Below are 18,210 nucleotides of genomic sequence, written 5' to 3' on the forward strand. Positions count from 1 at the left end.
TTTTCTTTGCAGTAAAGGAAATACTCACACCACTCTAGATTAAGAAGATTGAGAACCACTGAGTTCTGTTTAAAAATCACTGTTTGAAAATCTCTTGCAAAAGCATGGCCAAATACCAATGGTTTGAAGGACTAAAAACCCTGGGAAAAGTCAACTTCATATAGCAAAGGGTTGTTGTGAGGATTAAAAAACATAATGGAAGCAAACATGCTTTGTACAGGGCTACATTGCTATATATGTTCGGTTGCATTACTCCATCTCTCAACTTAAGGTGTCTTCAATATAGACAAAGGATCTGAAGGACTCTTTTTTTACTGAGAAAATAGCTCTGAAAACCACAATGTTAGGCACACAGCTCAGGAAAGCTCTATAAAATAAGATGCAAGGCCTGTGTTGTCTATTTCCATCCTTCACAATGGAAAAGCAGTTCATTTTCCTTCCTATATTATTGTATTTCAAAAACGCAAGTACATTTCTTGCAGCTATAGGCTAAAGCAATCTTTCAAGAAACTCCTAACAATCATACTATGATCAAATTGTTAAAACACACACACACACACACACACACAAGAAAACAATCAGCTATATTTTGTTGGCCTCCATGATAGAGTATTCAAATTCCAAGAATCCAAACATTCACTAGCTATATGATTTCATGTTTACCTTGACAACAAATGACTTGTCTCCATTATTACACAAGGAATGATGGGCTCAGAGAGGCTAAGCAACTGGTCCAAAGTCACAAGTTGGTACAAGTCAAGATTTCAACTTATTGGTCTGAGTCCCAGACTAGTATTCTTTATGCTAAATTCCAACTGCCTCTCAAAGAAAGGAGCCTAATTGTAGACTGCTATATGCCTCCGGAACATAGTGAAAGAGTTTCAAGGCTGAAAATAACCAAAGATGGCCAACTCACAATGAGAAGTTAAAATACATGTTCCAACAGTGTAAAAGAAGGTAGATAAATCATGCATCACAATGTAACAATAGTTAAGAGTTTGGATTCTGTGATCAGAAAAGCCTGAATTCAAATTGTGAATTAGCTGTTTACGAGCTGTCTGGCTTTAGGGTAAATTACTTAAGCTCTCTAAGCCTCAGTTTTCTATCCATAAAATGAAGATAAAAAATACTGACCCACTTGCCAACCTCATCCAGTTGTTGGAAGGTCAAATTAGAATATATATTGATAACTTGAAGACTCACAAGTACAATTTGTGGGAAATACAACTCCATTTAGTCTACTGACTTGGGACAAAACTGCCATAAATCAAGACAACTACTAGAAAGTGTACTCAAATCTGCTCATAAAGCAATTGTCAAGTCTAATCATTTTATGGCTTATGGTCATTTATGGAATCTTCTCAAATAAAGTCCAATTTGTTAGTCATCTTTTCCTTCAAAAATTTAGGGATGGCTCAGAACAAGAGGGAAAAGATACAGGGCCTTTCTTGCTAAGCCATAACTACTAAAATAATTAAATCACCCATCTACAACTTCGATAATTCAGTTCTCTTACAACCATGCATATCAATGTTACAAAGACCCTAAGATTTAAAAAAAAACTTCTGAGAAACAAAAATGTGAATTTCAACACACAGCAACACATAGTTGAATATATGGGAACATAGATTTCAAATTGGTGTAACACAATTTGGATATCTGTTGGCTGTAAAGGATGACTTAGTTTTATTATTATAAAGACTTATGCAAATAAGTTAAACTTATACAAGGCAATCCTCTTTGTATTGCTACACTAACTTGTCATTTTAAGACTTACCACTTAAAGAACATAATTATGAGTTATTTTGGGGAGAGCAAATATTCATCTACTTTAGTGAAAACCTAAAGAAATAGTCTCTAAATGTTTCTGATCATGCATCCTATCAACAAAATTTTTAGTGTATGTCAAATATATGTATATTTGTTTAGAAAATGTGCCACATGCTTTTGCATGCACACATGAAAATACATACAAAAATATTCTAAAAGAATGACAAAATAACTTTGGAGATGACCATCTAGAGAATCACTAAAAGTAAATGTACTCACGGGTGAAGTATCTCCTATTAATGCTACAATTTGAAATTATACATAGTGTTTGATGTAATATTCTCCAAATACAGGGATCCAGTTAACTATAATGGTACTAATGTGATGTTATATGTCTGGCCTACACTTGGTCATTTTTCTACCACCAGGAATGAGTCACAAATGGCCTTCACAACTTAAAGGTACAAGAAAAGAGGCTATAATCAAGTGGTTTGTAACAAGACACCTTTAAAAATAGTCTCCCTTTAGAAAATACTGAGACATTTGTGCTTTCCATCCACACCTCCCCCAAAACCAGTTCCCATGAAGTTCCACCTGTACTACCACTTTCACCTGCATGTTCACAGAAACAAATTGAATGCAGAGTCTCCCTGACGATTCATGAACTGCAGAATCCCCAGAGTAGAGATTCCTAAACTCTGCCAAGAGACTGTGCTGTGCAAACCTCTCGATACACAACTATGACCATAGCAAATGAATTTTTATCACCAAACCTTGCAATTCCTTCTCAGTTTAGCTTCCCAGTTTTCATTTTCCCCATCCTTTCCCTTTTTATCCAACTCTAGATTCAAATCATTTCACCTTTGAGCATCAGTACTCTCTTCTAAGCATACGTAATTCCCAAAAGAACACTGCATCTTCAATACTAAAATGATAAATACCATGAAAAGGCTCATAAATAACAGTCAGAAGTTGAACTACATTTTTTTATTCCTATCTTGGACATACTGAGCAATACGAAAAGTGATAAGCCAAGTTAAACCTGCAGTCAAAAAAAAACTGGTGTCAATCATACTCCACAAAGTGTTGAGGAAATGGTATCAATCCTCAGGATTAATACAATCTAAGGCTTACTTGTTTAGGAGCATTTCAAAAATATAACACTTAACATCAGAAGAAAATGATCTATAGGGATAAAGAAAATAAAGATCTATAGGCATAACCAGAAATCAGATCTCATAATGTACAGATTTCTCTATTTACAGTCCCATATATTAAATGATTTAAGGACTCAGTTAAGCAGCTGGGTCGGCTGGTATTACAAACTATCTTACTGTAAAAGATTTTGTGATACTGTTATATTAGTTCCAAATATGAAAATAAACCGGTTATATTTTGATAGCAGCCATATATAAAAGTTCAGTGGCAGAGACTGAGAGATAAGTCTAAAATGTTGGCAGTCTGTATACCTTCAGATAAATAAGAAATCTATTCAGTTTTAGACAATCCAAGATATACTTTTTGAAGACTTCCATGCATAGATAAAACTATTGACAAATGTTCTCCATATAGCCTATCAAGAGGATTTTATCACATCATTTGAAATAGGGGTGAAAAGGGGAGAGGAAGTATCTTTAAACTTCAATATGCAAAGTACAACTTCAGTTATCATACCTCTCTTCTGTAAAGAGGAAGAAGAGAGAGTATCAGAAATGTTAAAAGTCACGCAGGGAGAAGTCCAATAGTAGATTTATTTGCTCCCAAGATTAAAGGGAGCCTGGAAACCTGTAGTCATTAAACACTAGCCATCGGGAATACGGCTTCCTTCCTTTTAACTTGAAGGCCAATTTCATAAACTGCAACACCTATACAAAACAAAATTAATTACTTGCAATGTGTGAGTTATAATGACTTAAGGAAACTATTTGTGCAATGTACCTGAAAGCCACTTTCTGGTGGCCTTTCCAGTCTATTATTATAGAAATATTGCACATAAGGATAAAGACATGAGATTCCCATTCCAGATGACAAAGATAACAGCCGCATTATCCTGCATGAACCAGGGTAACTCTTGCTATACAATCCACTTGAAGCCTTGTTTCAACATTACAGAGGGAGGCACTACTTAAATTTGGAAAAAAGGAAATAATTTCAAAACTACCTGTTAAAACTTAGAAAGTAACACTCCTCAAACTTACTGCCAATCACAACTATGAATTCCTGGTGCCAAAGGCAACAATAATTTTGAAAGTAGTCATCCTATCTTAAAAGGATTTATAATAAAATATTTCAAAACATTCCCCAGAAACAGTGAACAAGAAATACATCACAAACAGCTACTGTACCGCAGATACAGGTTCAGCTCAATTGTCTGGGGAAGGTAAGGTTAAAGTCACAGGAAACAGCTGGTCTCAGAGTGATGTGTGCAAGCCTTTTTCAAAGACAAACTTATAAACAGCTCCTCACAAGCCAGACATCACCTGAATTCTAAAATAAACATTTTTATTAACTGTTTCCATCATTTTCAAAGATTGAAAAAGTCTGATGTCAAGATCTTCAAAAACAACTTTCCATTTGAAAAAAGGCTTTATGATAAAAAAAAAAAATGGTTGAGGTACTTAGTTTCAATGGAGTTACCAGATGAAATGTAGTTGGTAAACAACAGTAGTCAGCACTGGGGTGAGACCCATTTAAAAACAACCCTACCTGGTGTTTTTATTGTAATTCAAGTTTGAAATACCGAGGAGCTTTTTCACAGAATAGGTTTAAAAATAAAACCATAACAATTGGCAAGGGTAGTCCATGTGTTGCGGGTCTACGAATTCTAACTCTCGAGAATGGTGTGCCAATAATATCCACAGACATTTGTACTCTAAATACCTGCATATTCAGTGGCCTATTCCTGTGTTGTCTACAAAATCAGAATAATTTATTCCTGGGTGTAGAAATAACTTCTTAAAAGTTATTTGAGATTACTAATTTCAAGTAATTACTAATTTTATTTCAGACTGCGTATTTCCAGTGTCAACATGTTTACATATATACCAAAAAAAGGCCACTATATGTTAACTGTGTAGAGCAAAATTCAATTTTTCCACTTTCAATTTCCACTGAAAAACGCTGTTATCCTCTACAACTAAACAGCAAGTCCTTCTATTATATGGGGTAGTGAAGTAATCTACACTACAGCATTATCAAGGTTCACTTAGGTTTTTAGTATTTATCTGAAATAAAAGTCTGAAAATGAGGAATCGAGAAAGTCAGCATTTCAACTTTTGAGAATAAAAGTTCATAAACATACCTTTTGTTGAATTCCAGCTTATGTGATTTTTATGTACATCTTGCAGGTGATGAAAAGCAAAAAGCAACCAATCTCTCTGTGGTGTTTAGCCTGTTCTTTAAGACTATGGGTCACCTGCCCCGGGGAAATTTCTAATTGAACAAAGAATCCATGGGGCAAAGTAATTGTTTTTCAAAGGTGGGTCAGAATGGAACATTTATATCTTCACTTCAACAGGGAAGCAATGAAATGTAATCCTTTGAGTATCACATTTTTGGTAGATGCTACCGTGGTCTCTTATCCTTATTTCATGAGATCATTAGCCTGTGAATGTGTCCATGTTTTGACTTTAGAAATTTTTAAAACATGCTACTCCTGTGTTTCCTGTAAAACCTAAACATGTATATACAGAGCATCTTCATTCCTCATCAAATGTTTTTCCAGCATGACCAGTGTGCAACAGAGATTCAGTTTATAGAACCTGTCTTCTAAGAAAAAATACTTTTAGCTAAACCTCTATAATCATGACAAGAGATTGATTAAAATGCCAAGATAAGAAACGATTTATTATAGAGAGAAGAAAAATTTCTCATCCAAAATATAGAAATCTGTACAACTTTGCCACAATCAATATACATGAACTGTACAAATTTACACCAGTTCATAATTTACCAAATAAAAGATGACTAACAAAGTTCACAAAATAGATGGTGGTTTGTGGAAAAGACTTTTACCCAATTAAGTACAAGGAAAGTTACAAACCAGACCTCCACTTTCTAAAAATAAGAAGTTTACTCAGTCTTAGAAAACTACAAGCTAGCAAATGTACAGAGAGCTGGCTGGTGCTAACACCACAGTTGAGACAGTGTCTTTTTAAGGGTCTTTTTTAAAGCCTGTTGCCATGGCAGATTCTGGTCACTTGCTACTTTCAAGGCCAAAAACACAATACAAGGTCTGACCATTTCCCCAGGTCATGCTTACTAGTTTGTCTTTATGTACATTTATACATATTTAAGTGCTAGGTAAAAGTCTTGTAAAATTTCCAGTACTACCATGTTTAAAACGTTTAACTTTCCTATTAAAAGCTGCCGAAAAGGTTAACAATAACAACTTTCAAGTGTAATAGTGCAAATTCCCCTGCGAGATTTACTGCAGAGAAAGATTCTTTGAAATACAGATTTTCTTTAAAAGGATTGATGTAAAAATTTAGGTATGTCTGGGAGAAACTGAAACCACCCTAGGACTTCCCTCCCTAGCAAATAAAGTGATCATTTACTTGGACTCACAGGCTATTAAAATTAATCATTGAAAGGTACTGTCCAAACTATGGCACTGTCACTTAAAATTTTTTTTTTTTTTACCATTCTATCTTGTGCCAGATCTTCACAGCTGTGACATGGTTTAAATTCCATAATCCATCCCCAAGAGGAGCCCACCCAAAGCAAAAATCAAATTTATCCATCATCATCAGATGATCCATCCACAGACTATATCTTAACCTGATACAGTCATCATATTGTAGTTTTTGGAAGGGCTCGTTCTGCCCAAGAGAAGTTCCTCCTTACAGCTGATTCGGCTGTCTACCATTTGCACGTTGGTGCTGTTTTGAGTGCTACCTCCTGCTGGTGAGGCTTCATACAGCACACAGATGGAGCCATCCTCTCCAATTCTGTAGGACACTTCATAGGGGTCAACCCAGAGTGTGAGTTCACTTGGGAGAAGCCTGAACAGCTCCTGACTGCTCAGTCCAATCCGCTGTGCTGCCTGTCCAATCAGAGGATCCATTTTATGGTTGATGCGAATACAACGGTAACCCGATCCCTTGCATGGCTTTTCTGGGAACCAGTGATGTTTATAATGTTCTATAGAAGAAAAGAAGAACAGAGAAACAACGCTTAGGATCGTTAGCTCCCACTGCGGATTCCTCCTACCCCAGGCTCCTTTGAGGAGCGAAAATGAAAACTATCAACTTTTTAAAATGTCCAGGATTGCATCCGTTGTTGTGCATGTGCGGGGATGGAAAAAGCGGGCAGGGTTTTAGAAATAACACAGTAGTACCGGACAAAACAATCTCCAGGAACCAACCGGTTGAGCCGCCAAAACAGGAATCAGGCGCGCAGCCTCGGCCAGTCGGGAAGCCACTGGCACCTATGGCCAGGCGAGAAACTGTTTACTTTCTCCACCCCACCCCAGATGCACACAATGGAGTTGATGGCTTTGGAGATGAGAAGCGCCACCGGACTGTTAACCCCGAAGGGAAGAAAAACAAGCAACCCTAAACCACGCTCTGGGCAGGGCTGTTAATTGTGCCGGTGACAAATCCGATGATTAATGGGCAGGGGCAGGAGGCGCGGGGAGACGGCACGTCCGTTCTGAGCTGGCTCCGGGGCAGCGGCGCAGCTTCCCACCCCGGGGCTGGGCCGCCGACCACGCAACGGTTGGAGGGGGCTGAGGAAAGGGGACGTCGAACCCACCCCAGCCCCACGGCTCCTTTGTCCCCAAATCCGCCGACGGTCCTCGGACCGCAGCTCCCGCCTCGGTGGGCTTAAGTTTCTTTGTTGTGCGTGTTGTCTTCTCCTCTCCGTTTTGCCAGCTGGGGGGAAGGGGGCGCCCTCCGTCCAGCCCCTAAAGCCTCGCGGGGAACCGCTGTTAGCGGCCACCCAGCGCAACCACACCGGTCCCGCGGCGGGGCCCAAGCGCGACCGGCCCCGGGGCGCTGCCGAGGTTCCCGCAGCCCCGACGGCCGGACTCTGACCCAGGGATGTGGGGCCCGCGTCCCTCCGACGCCCTCGCCCTGCTCACCTGCCAGCAGCTCCTGCAGGCTCTGGCTGAAGGTCTGCAGCTGTCGCTCGCTCGTGAGCCCCTTGGTGCGGAGAAACTTGGAGATGAAGGACACGGCGGCGGCGATCTCGCCTATCATGGTGGCGGCCCGGGTGTAGAAGGGATGCATGGGGGCGGCGTGCGGGGGCGGCCCGGGGCGGCTGGGGCTCGGCGGCGCGGCCCCGACGGCGGAGCAGCCACCCCGGGCTTCCTCACCGGGCGGAAGGCTGAGAGGAAGAGAGGGCGTGAGGGGCGGACGACTACTTTTGTCTTTCTTTCTTTAGACTAAAAAAGTTATTTTCGAGACAGGAGGCGGCAGGAGAGAGGAAGAGACGAGCGATGGCGGCCTGGTCACATCGCTCGGACCTCCCCAGCTGCCTCCGCCTCCAGCTCCGCAGCATTCGAAGATCTCAATAGCTGCATTTCCAGCTCCGAGAGGCGAAGAGATGCAAGCGCCGTGCAGCACCCTTTATAGTGCCACGAAAAGGAAGTGGCGTAGCTGGAGCGTGATGGCCGACTCCAGCCAATCCGAATATCGCACCATTGTGACGCAAGCCGGTTCGGAGCCGAAAGGGGCGGGAAAAGAGTTCAGGAGGCGGGTCCAGAGATAGGGAAGAGAGGGAGGAGCTGACGTAATCCGCTTGTAAACAAATAAACCCGGAGTGGCGGCTGGAGACCCAGTTGCTTGTGTCGAGGGAGGGAGGGAGGGAACAGAGGGTGCGCGTGTGAAAGCTCCGCCCCCAGCCCTAGCTCCTCCTTCCCGCTTCAGCAGGTCCAGGCTCTGCGCCAGTGCATCCTTCTCCAAGAGTGCGCTGCCTGGGCCCGCTTGCCCTGGAGTGTAAGTGCTGGGTAAATAAGAACCGCCTGGCGCAGGCTGTGTCTACTCTTCACGCCGCCTTCTCAGATCGGGCTGCATGTCCCCACTCCGTGTTTACATCTCGTTCCCGCTCCGGGTCTCGGTGACTGGCTCCTCAAGCCGGAGACGCGTGTGGTGCGGCGCGATGCGGGCGCCAGCGCTGTGTGTGCTGGCGGTGCGCTGCCTTAGTGCGGGGGAAAGTGGAGGGAACGGTCCTGCGGGGCGTTCTGTCCAAGAAAAAGGACTGCAGCCTCGGGGAGCCAGGGTCCCCTCGCAGACGAGCTGCCAACGCCGCGGAGCCATTTCTGTTCCACCCTAGGGGAGGAGTAGGGGGATATCTTTTAAAAGTTTAATTGCAAAATAAGTAGGTTAGTAAGGCCATTTGTGGTTGCTGTTTCAGTAACTTCAGCAGTCAACGGAGAGAAGAGTGGAAACCTTACTGGATGCGGACAGGAGAGCCAGTTACTGAAAGCAGATATAACGCGGATCCTGTAAAGAGTGGTGTGTATCCAAAAAAAAAAAATCTGTACAATGTATTTTAAAACTTGTGTGCACAAAACTGAAGATTTTCTTTTTTACCTAGTCCAAATGCCGTCCTAGCCTGAGTCCTGCTCTTTATAAAAATAAAATAAAAAGAATTTGAAGCTTGTGAAAGTATTAAGTGTAGACATTCAAGTTTATTTGAAACCCTACCAAAAAAAAAAAAAAACAACCTTAAAAACCAGTGTAACAGGAAGGCGGGAGCCTGCTAAAACGATTAGGCCTAAGACAGGGTTAACCCCAACTCCATTAAGGAGAAGGGGGAAAAGAAAAAAAGAAAGATGAAGGGAGGCAGGCAGATGGAGAAAGCAAACAGGAGGCAGAAGTTGAACTCTACCAGATGGAAATAAATATCCCGACCTTAGTTGATCATCAATATTGCAAAACACACCACTTTGAGTGTTTTTTTTTTCTTTTTAATACTGAGCTAAAGGATATAGAAATGAAGCAAAAATAATGACATTATAAAACAGGAGAAAACGTTTTATTGTTTAAAAAATATGTAAAACTCGATTTGAAAAAATAACTTCTAGATTATTTTTTCATTAGTACACATAACTAAGTAGTTACATGTGAAAAAATTAAAGAGTGGTTTTTTTTTTTCTTATAGAACTTTTCAGATAGAACTCTGCTTAAAAATAGTAATTTCACTGGAGGCATGAAACCTCTTTTACTACTCAAAAAGAAGATCGAGAAGCAAAAGTAAATTCATGAAATTACCATAACACTAGAATAACAACTCCTGGTCTCCCACCTAACCTGACCCACCCTTAGTTCCCTGCTTTCACTTACATTGTCGTTAATGTGTCACTGAGTACAAATTAGGAGTCAAGTGAAAGTTTTTCTCTTCTAAACCTGGTCTCCAACTTGGCCTCTCGGTCATGTGCTTAAATTGTCTCATCTAAAAAACAGAAATATTAAATCAACAAAATGCTAGGATTGGACTCAGACTTCCCCCAAGCCCTTGTTCTCCATACTATTTTTAACTGCCTGCACTAGCAGCAGCAGGACCCCTTCTGAAAGCCTTATAAAACCAGTTGAACAGGGTTAACAGAAAGTTTAACCCATAGACTCAGGGAGAGTTACTTCCCGCACTGAGTTTTTCAAATTATATATGTGTGTTTCCCACCTTAAATCATCCCATTAGGAGACAAACTGATTTGAGAAACTACAGTAATTTTTAACTTGGGAATCTACAGAGTACTCAGAAAAAAACTGGAAATAAACATTAGTCTTAAACGTAAGCCTTAGATGGTACATAATGTTCATTGCTAATAGTTTTCAATTCCTGACATATATATGTTTAGTCACATTTTCTGGAAGTTTAGTCAGGCCCTTCCCATCTGGGAAACAAGCAGGTATTTCTGGACAGCTTTTGAATTACAAAGGTGCTTTCTGTGTTGTTGTGCTAAGTTTACCAAGGCTCTCCCAAGTACTTTATTATTATCATGCAATTTGATAGTAATTTATGAAATTTTTTTTTTTTTTTTTTGAGATAGAGTCTCGCTCAGTCACCCAGGCTGGAGTGCAGTGGCGCGATCTTGGCTCACTGCAGCCACCGACTCCCAGGTTTAAGTGATTCTCCTGCCTCAGCCTCCCGAGTAGCTGGGATTACAGGCATGCACCACCACGCCTGGCTAAATTTTGTATTTTTAGTAGAGATGGGGTTTCACCATGTTGGCCAGGCTGGTCTCAAACTCCTGATCTCAGGTGATCCACCCGCCTCGGCCTCTCAAAGTTTAGGGATTACAGGCGTGGGCCACCACGCCTGGCCTGTCTAATTAATTTCTAAAACTTAGAACATTTCTAATCAAAGTATTAAAAATCTTAGGAATGCTGTCAAAACAAATTCAAAAAATGAACCTGGGTTTTAAAATAAGTTGACAAATAAAAGCACAAATATTAGATATTGTTTCCCCAGTTGGACCCGCCCTTTCCCTGAAGGCACATTAGGGCCAGGGCCTTCCAGACTGAGCCAGAGGCAACCTGCCTGTTGCTAGTCAGCTAGCTGCAGTCACTAAAGTTGTGCTTATTACGCACCTACTTCCAGATAGAGTGCTAGGTGTCTAGAAAACTCACAACTTAACCAATAAGTACAGAGTCAAGTGAGAGTTCTTGAGAGAGTGTTAATGGCAAATAGAGACAGGGCACTTATTTATTTGTGTGTTGCGGGGCAGAGGGAAAATAAGAAAACCCCAAAAGTGAATGATCTCAGCTAAGCCAATGAAAGTGACCCAAGATTAGTTCTCCTTGGAGGAAAGGAACGGGCTTGATCTTGGAGTATCTCAAAGGCATAAACCAAGGAGGATAAGTATTGTTGAAAAAACTGGTAGATGGAGGCAGGCATAGGGTACTTGAGAGTACTCTTGAGAGTGTTTTTAGCAGACAGATTATATGATCAGATTTATCTTTAAATAAGTTAGCTTTTCTTGTGGGCTTATGTCTTCAACTAGATACCTATGCCTCTTATTTATCTATTTTTTTGTTACCCGCAGAAAGGAGAAGACCACTTTTAGTTGCCTCCCTGCTAGCACCCTGACTTGCTCTGCTTGAATAAGAATCCAAGGACACAAGCTAAGACATTTGCACTGGGTTTAGATCTACTGCGATTCACAAAACACAAAAGAACTTTCAGTCAGAGGGTGACACATAATGATTTTAGACAAAACTCAGTTTCTTCTGGTGGAAGCTATTCAGATTGTTTGGAGAGTGGGAGGAAAAAGGAGTGAAGCATCGCTTAACAACAAAAGTAATAATGCAGGTTATTATCATTTTATCATTAACAATGCATCAGTGCTAAGTGTTTTACATGCTTTCTATCTCTCTCTTTTTATTTATTTATTTATTTATTTTTTTTTTTGAGACTCACTCTGTTGCCCAGGCTGGAGTGTGGCGGTGCGATCACAGCTCACTGCAACCTCCGCCTCCTGGGCTCAAGCTTATCTTTCCACTCAGCTTCCTGAATAGCTGGGACTTCAGGCACGTTCCACCACGCCTGGCTAATTTTTGAATTTTTTGGTAGAGACGGGGTTTCACCATGTTGCCCAGGCTGGTTTTGAACTCCTGGGCTCAAGCGATTCACTCACCTCAGCCTCCCAAAGTGCTGGAATTGCAGGCATGAGCCACCGCACCCAGCCATGCTTTCCCATTTAATTCTCTAAGAAACCCAATCGAGTGAGTATAGTTGACAGCATTTAACATATAAGAATACAGTCTTAAAGAAAATAAGTAATTTACCCAAGGTTTTACAGCCAGATTTGAACTCTCAAGTCATGGACTACAAAATTTGAGCTCTAAATACCTGGTAGGGTTTTCAAGGGAGCTCCTGATATTACCTTTCCTAAAAAGGACCTTGAGAAATAAAACCTGATAAAGTTAGAAGACCATCTGGAGATGAGTAGAGATAGTAGTAGGAAAAAAAAAATCAAAACTCAAGGCAGCTGAGGGGACATCTCATAGCTGACATAATCTGTAAGATACAGCTACATTTATTAAAAGGCCCACTGGAAAATGAAACAAGGAACATATTAAAATGTTAATCTGCCAAATAATTTAACTGGAATGAAAATTATCCCTAGGTACAGATAAGAGAAAGTAGCAAAAGTGCTTTCTATTTAAGACCATTTAAACTTTTCATTTCCCCTTTGGCCTAAATTGACAAAAGGAACCAGGGGCCTGGTCAGTTCCACAATCTCTCTTGCCCAGCAACTGAGGCGGGCCCTGGAGGGTTCGGTGGGGGAGGTGGGAGGGCAGCAAGGAGGGATGGTTTTGTGTCCAGGTCACTGTTGAATCTGATCAGTGGCCTCCGGGAATTCTCACTCAACTTTCTACTGCATAGCTGCAGGGCCATTTCTCAAAGCTGGGCTCCTCCCCAAACCTTCTCCTTCCTGGTGCCAGAACCTCCTGGCCTATCTCTTTTTAAAGCTCTCACCGTCTATATTGTCACCGGAGGCAACCACGTGGTGGTCAGGGTTACTGAGTGTTTATCTGCACCCCCCAGCTGCCAAAGACCTCTTCAATTTTAAGGTTTAACAGTAGACAGCCGGGCGCGGTGGCTCACGCATGTAATCCCAGCACTTTGGGAGGCCGAGGCGGGCAGATCACGAGGTCAGGAGATTGAGACCATTCTGGCTAACACAGTGAAACCCCGTCTCTACTAAAAATATAAAAAAATTAGCCGGGCGTGGTGGCGGGCGCCTGTAGTCCCAGCTACTGGGGAGGCTGAGGCAGGAGAGTGGCGTGAACCCGGGAGGTGGAGCTTGCAGTGAGCCGAGATCGCGTCACTGCACTCCAGCCTGGGCGACAGAGCGAGACTCCCTCTCAAATAAAACAAAACAAACAAACAAACAAAAAACAGTAGAGTGGGGAAAGAGTTAATAAGAATTAACTCTGGAACATTGGAAACTTTGAAAAATCGTACAAAGTTCTTACAAATTATGATCCTGGAGTATAGTATTTATAACTTTCTGAAGGGGGAAGTGGGGTACATGGACCTCCCCTTCCTTGTATTCATTTAGTTTTTGAAACAGGGTCTCTCACTCTGTCACCTAGGCTGGAGTGCAATGGCAGGATCACAGCTCACAGCAGCCTCTACCTCTCGGGCTCAAGTTATGCACGGCCACTCCCCCCACCCCTACCCCGCAGCCTTGCCCATCTCAGCCTCCTGAGTAGCTGGGACTACAGGTGCGCGCTACCATGCCCAGCTAATTTTTTTGGTTTTTGTAGAGACAGGGTTTCCCTATGTTGCCCAGGCTGGTCTTGAACTCGTGGGCTCAAGCGATCCTCCCTCCTCAGCCTCCCAAAGTGCTAGGATTACAGGCGTGAGCCACTACGTTCAGCCTCCCCTTTCCCTTAAACTAATGAAGCAAGGGATTGGGACTTCTCACTGGTTCTCCCAATGTGTTCCCCAAACCAGCAGCATCAGAGTCTTCCTGGGAACTTGATAGGAATGCAAAATTTTGCCTTCATTCTAAACCTGTGAATTAAAAACTCTGGGGATAGGGTACTGTCTAGGTACTAATGTTGGAGAACCATTGCTGTGAAAAAGTAATGGCAAAATTCTGTAATTAAAAACAACACTGAAGAGATACCTGCACTTCCATGCTTATTGCAGTACTATTCACAATAGCCAATATATGGAATCAACCTAAATGCCCATCAGTGGATGAATGGATAAAGAAAATGTGGAATATATACACAATGAAATATTCAGCCATTAATAAAAGCATGAAATCCTGTCATTTGCAGCAACTTGAATGGAACTGGAGGTCATTATGTTAAATAAAATAAGCCTCCTTTTTCCTGTGCTGGAAAAACAAAATAATTTTAGAACAATTGAAGAAAAATAAGCCAAGCACAGAAAGACAAATATTGCGTGTTCTCACTCATATTGGGAGCTTAAAAAGTGGATCTCATGGGGATGGAGAGTAGATTGATGGCTAGATGGCTACTAGATGCGGAGAAGGCTAGGTAGGAGAAGGGATGAAAAGAGATTCACTAATGGGTACAAAATACAATTAAATAGAAGATTTACTATCTAGCATTTGATAAATCAATACAGTGACTATATTAAATAGTAATCTATTTTATATTTCAAAATAGCTATTAGAGAATAATTTGAATGTTCTCAGTATAAAGAAAAGATAACTGTGTAATGTGATGGATGCCCCAATTACCCCAGTTTGATTATTACCTATTATATGAATGTGTCACAATATCACATGTACCCTGAAAATATGTACATCTATTAGGTATCAATAAAAATAACCTGGCCAGGCACGGTGGCTCACGCCTGTAATCCCAGCACTGTGGGAGGCTGAGGCGGGCAGATCACGAGGTCAGGAGATCGAGACCATCCTGGCTAACACTGTGAAACCCGTCTCTACTAAAAATACAAATAAAAAATTAGCTGGGTGTGGTGGCAGGCACCTGTAATCTCAGCTACTTGGGAGGCTGAGGCAGGAGAATGGTGTGAACCCAGGAGGCGGAGCTTGCAGTAAGCCAAGATTGTGCCACTGCACTCCAGCCTGGGCGACAGAGCAAGACTCCATCTCAAAAAAAACAAAAAACAAAAAAAAAAACCTCACTTTTTTTCAGGTATATACCATATCCAATAGAAATCTTTTTCCTTAAAAGAAAAAGCACATCAATTGAATAGGTAAAAGCTGCCTTTAAAATGAACTAAGTTTTCAGTGAGTTATTTGCTTCCTTTAGGTTCTATAGTCTGGGTAAACTCCATTCTTCCCAGTTTCTGAGACAATAAGCAAGCCACAGCTACTCTTGTCCAGTAATGGTGTTCACATTTTGCTCTCGAGAGAGGATAATACTCAGGAAGCTTGGTAGGATACCCATATAATCAAATGTTGGCATATTCTATACTTTATTTTTACTTTTTTTTTTTTTTTGAGACGGAGTCTTGCTCTGTTGCCCAGGCTGGAGTGCAGTGGTGCAATCTCAGCTAACTGCAAGCTCCGCCTCCCGGGTTCACGCCATTCTCCTGCCTCAGCCTCCTGAGTAGCTGGGACTACAGGCGCCCGCCACCACGCCCGGCTAATTTTTGTATTTTTAGTAGAGACGGGGTTTCACCATGTTAGCCAGGATGGTCTCGATCTCCTGACCTCGTGATCTGCCTGCCTCGGCCTCCCAAAGTGCTGGGATTACAGGCGTGAGCCACTGCGCCTGGCCTATTTTTACTTTTTGTATACTTTATTTTTACTTTTTCTTTTACTTTCAAAGAAAAACAGCAGGGCTGGGCATGGAGGCTCACACCTGTCATTCCAGCACTTTGAGAGGCCAAAGCAGGAGGATAGCTTGAGGCCAAGAATTCAAGACCGCCCTGGGCAACATATTGAGAACCCCCTGTCTACAAAAAATAAAAAATTTACCTGGGGTTGGTGGTGCGTGCCTGTAAGTCCTAGCTACATGGGCCACATGGGAGGCTGAGGCAGTAGGATTGCTTGAGTCCAGGAATTTGAGGCTACAGTAAACTATGATGGTGCCACTGCACTCCAGCCTGGGCAACAAAGCAGGACCCTGTCTCTTAAAAAAAAAAAAAAAGAAGAAGAAAACAAAACAGCAACTTGTTTTTTTGCTTTTTTTGTTTGTTTGTTTGTCTTTATGGAAACTCAAATTTAAAATCTCAAAGTAGATTAGAATTTAGGTGCATTAAGATGAAGTCACAGCCGGGCGCGGTGGCTCAGGCCTGTAATCGCAACACTTTGTGAGGCCAAGGAGGGCAGATCTCGAGCTCAGGAGATCGAGACCATCCTGGCTAACATGGTGACAGAGACAGAGACTCTGTCACCATGGTGTCTCATGGTGTCCCTGTCTCATGGTGACAGAGACAGAGACAGAGGAGCGAGACTCCTGTCTCTACTAAAAATACAAAAAATTAGCCGGGTGTGGTGGCGGGCACCTGTAATCCCAGCTACTCAGGAGGCTGAGGCAGGAGAATGGTGTGAACCCAGGAGGTGGAGCTTGCGGTGAGCTGAGATGCAGCCACTGCACTCCACCCTAGGCCACAGAGCGAGACTCCGTCTCAAACAAACAAACAAAAAAAGATGAAGTCACAACATTCTCTTTAAACTAGGTAGTCAACTAAAAAAAAAGAACATTCATGTTGCAGAAGTACTGTATAACAAAACAAATAAATATAAATATAGAAGGCCTACATATAGATATCCAACATGATTGTGGAAAAGATGTGGACTCTCATGCATCTGAATATACATCAGCGGGAATTCAAGGATTGAAATCCTACTAGTAAATACAATTTAGGATATATTCACTTAATGGGGCATAGCAAGTTAGACACTTAAATTCCTGAAAAGACTATGTTCTAGCCATGGAAGAAAAGTTTTCTAAAGAAAAAAAATAGTTATGACTGGCATATCAAAGAGCATGTATTTTTCTTTTGAGACCAAGTCTTACCCTGTTGCCCACGCTGGAGTGCAGTGGCATGATCTCAGCTCACTGCAACCTCCACCTCCCAATTTCAAGTGATTCTCGTGCCTCAGCCTCCTGAGTAGCTGGGACTACAGGCGTGAGCTACCATGTCCGGCTAATTTTTGTATTCTTAGTAGAGATGGAGTTTCACCCTGTTGGCCAGGCTGGTCTCTAACTCCTGACCTCAAGTGATCCACCTGCCTCAGCCTCCCAAAGTGCTGGGATTACAGGCATGAGCCACCGCACCGGCCAAATTACATGTATTTTCTGATGAGGATGAGGATGAGGATAAAGTGATAGCCTCCCCACTATTTTGTGTTCTCTCATCCATTTACTTAATAAATACTTATTTTCCCTAAGTGAAGCAGAAGCAGTCTTCAGCTAGATAATATAGTGGGCCTTCTGAATCCTCAAGTTCTGCACTCATGAATTCAACCAACCATAGATTGAAAATATTTGGAAAAATCTCTGGCACAGTGGCTCACAGCTGTAATTCCCGCACTTTGGGAGGCTGAGGTGGGAGGATCACTTGAGCTCAGGAGTTCAAGACCACCCTGGGCAACATGGCGATACCCCATCTCTACAAAAAATACAAACATTAGGCATGGTAGTTTCAGATACTTGGGAGGCTGAGGTAGGAGGATGGCTTGAGACTGGGAAGCAAAGGTTACAGTGAACAAAGATCACGCCACTGCACTCTAGCCTGGGCAACAGAGGGAGACCCTGTCTCAAAAACAAAGAAAAGAAAAGGAAAATATTCTGAAAAAACAAAACAAAAAAAAATAATACAACAATAAAAATAATACAAAATTTTAAAATACAGTATAAAAACTCTTTACATAGCATTTACATTTTATTAAGTATTGTAAGCAATCTAGAGATGATTTAAATTACAGTCATGAGCTGCATAATGACATTTCAGTTAATTAGAGGCCACTTGTAAGAAGATTCTTCCCCTAAAATTATAATACCGTAATTTTACAGTTCGTCTTATAAATAT

The 18,210-nt window shown here is 41.8% G+C and overlaps 1 protein-coding gene and 2 long non-coding RNA genes across 8 annotated transcripts in view, besides 8 other annotated features; 1 reads left to right on the top strand and 2 right to left on the bottom strand.

Annotated features, from left to right (window-relative positions):
* The window catches only part of LINC01619 (long intergenic non-protein coding RNA 1619), a 157,856-nt gene extending 152,560 nt beyond the window's left edge, over positions 1-5,296 (bottom strand). For 4 of the 5 annotated variants that reach the window (NR_132340.1, NR_132341.1, NR_132339.1 and 1 more), the window contains exon 1: positions 5,072-5,296. This is a non-coding gene — a long non-coding RNA (long intergenic non-protein coding RNA 1619). Of the gene's footprint in view, positions 1-4,115; positions 4,179-5,071 lie in introns of those variants that run through there. The other variant, NR_046159.2, reaches the window with a different exon arrangement.
* BTG1 (BTG anti-proliferation factor 1) lies at positions 2,743-8,311 on the bottom strand. Its single transcript, NM_001731.3, has 2 exons — positions 7,853-8,311; positions 2,743-6,912 (listed from the first exon to the last, which is right to left on the bottom strand). Exons 1-2 carry the CDS (start codon positions 7,998-8,000, stop codon positions 6,545-6,547), a joined length of 516 nt encoding a protein of 171 aa, NP_001722.1. The 5' UTR covers positions 8,001-8,311; the 3' UTR covers positions 2,743-6,544.
* Positions 4,396-4,685: an enhancer, noted in NCBI's record as "active region_6721". NCBI's record gives its function as "activates an Ori minimal core promoter by ATAC-STARR-seq in GM12878 lymphoblastoid cells {active_cell/tissue: GM12878}" and the evidence as "EXISTENCE:reporter gene assay evidence [ECO:0000049][PMID:35858748]".
* Positions 6,713-6,952: an enhancer, noted in NCBI's record as "active region_6722". NCBI's record gives its function as "activates an Ori minimal core promoter by ATAC-STARR-seq in GM12878 lymphoblastoid cells {active_cell/tissue: GM12878}" and the evidence as "EXISTENCE:reporter gene assay evidence [ECO:0000049][PMID:35858748]".
* Positions 6,973-7,022: an enhancer, noted in NCBI's record as "active region_6723". NCBI's record gives its function as "activates an Ori minimal core promoter by ATAC-STARR-seq in GM12878 lymphoblastoid cells {active_cell/tissue: GM12878}" and the evidence as "EXISTENCE:reporter gene assay evidence [ECO:0000049][PMID:35858748]".
* Positions 7,283-7,332: an enhancer, noted in NCBI's record as "active region_6724". NCBI's record gives its function as "activates an Ori minimal core promoter by ATAC-STARR-seq in GM12878 lymphoblastoid cells {active_cell/tissue: GM12878}" and the evidence as "EXISTENCE:reporter gene assay evidence [ECO:0000049][PMID:35858748]".
* Positions 7,283-8,072: a biological region, named in NCBI's record as "H3K27ac hESC enhancer GRCh37_chr12:92538603-92539139".
* Positions 7,292-7,828: an enhancer, noted in NCBI's record as "H3K27ac hESC enhancer chr12:92538603-92539139 (GRCh37/hg19 assembly coordinates)". NCBI's record gives its function as "activates a minimal SCP1, AML or CMV promoter by ChIP-STARR-seq in naive H9 embryonic stem cells {active_cell/tissue: H9 hESC(naive)}" and the evidence as "EXISTENCE:reporter gene assay evidence [ECO:0000049][PMID:30033119]".
* Positions 7,753-8,072: a silencer, noted in NCBI's record as "silent region_4700". NCBI's record gives its function as "represses an Ori minimal core promoter by ATAC-STARR-seq in GM12878 lymphoblastoid cells {active_cell/tissue: GM12878}" and the evidence as "EXISTENCE:reporter gene assay evidence [ECO:0000049][PMID:35858748]".
* The window catches only part of BTG1-DT (BTG1 divergent transcript), a 39,700-nt gene continuing 30,039 nt past the window's right edge, over positions 8,550-18,210 (top strand). Inside the window, exons 1-3 of one of the 2 annotated variants that reach the window (NR_135037.1) lie at positions 8,550-8,708; positions 9,127-9,227; positions 11,762-12,027. This is a non-coding gene — a long non-coding RNA (BTG1 divergent transcript). The remainder of the gene's footprint in view (positions 8,709-9,126; positions 9,228-11,761; positions 12,028-18,210) is intronic. The other variant, NR_135036.1, reaches the window with a different exon arrangement.
* Positions 8,663-8,962: an enhancer, noted in NCBI's record as "active region_6725". NCBI's record gives its function as "activates an Ori minimal core promoter by ATAC-STARR-seq in GM12878 lymphoblastoid cells {active_cell/tissue: GM12878}" and the evidence as "EXISTENCE:reporter gene assay evidence [ECO:0000049][PMID:35858748]".

This window comes from Homo sapiens, chromosome 12, assembly GCF_000001405.40.
Source record: "Homo sapiens chromosome 12, GRCh38.p14 Primary Assembly".
Taxonomy (NCBI): domain Eukaryota; kingdom Metazoa; phylum Chordata; class Mammalia; order Primates; family Hominidae; genus Homo; species Homo sapiens.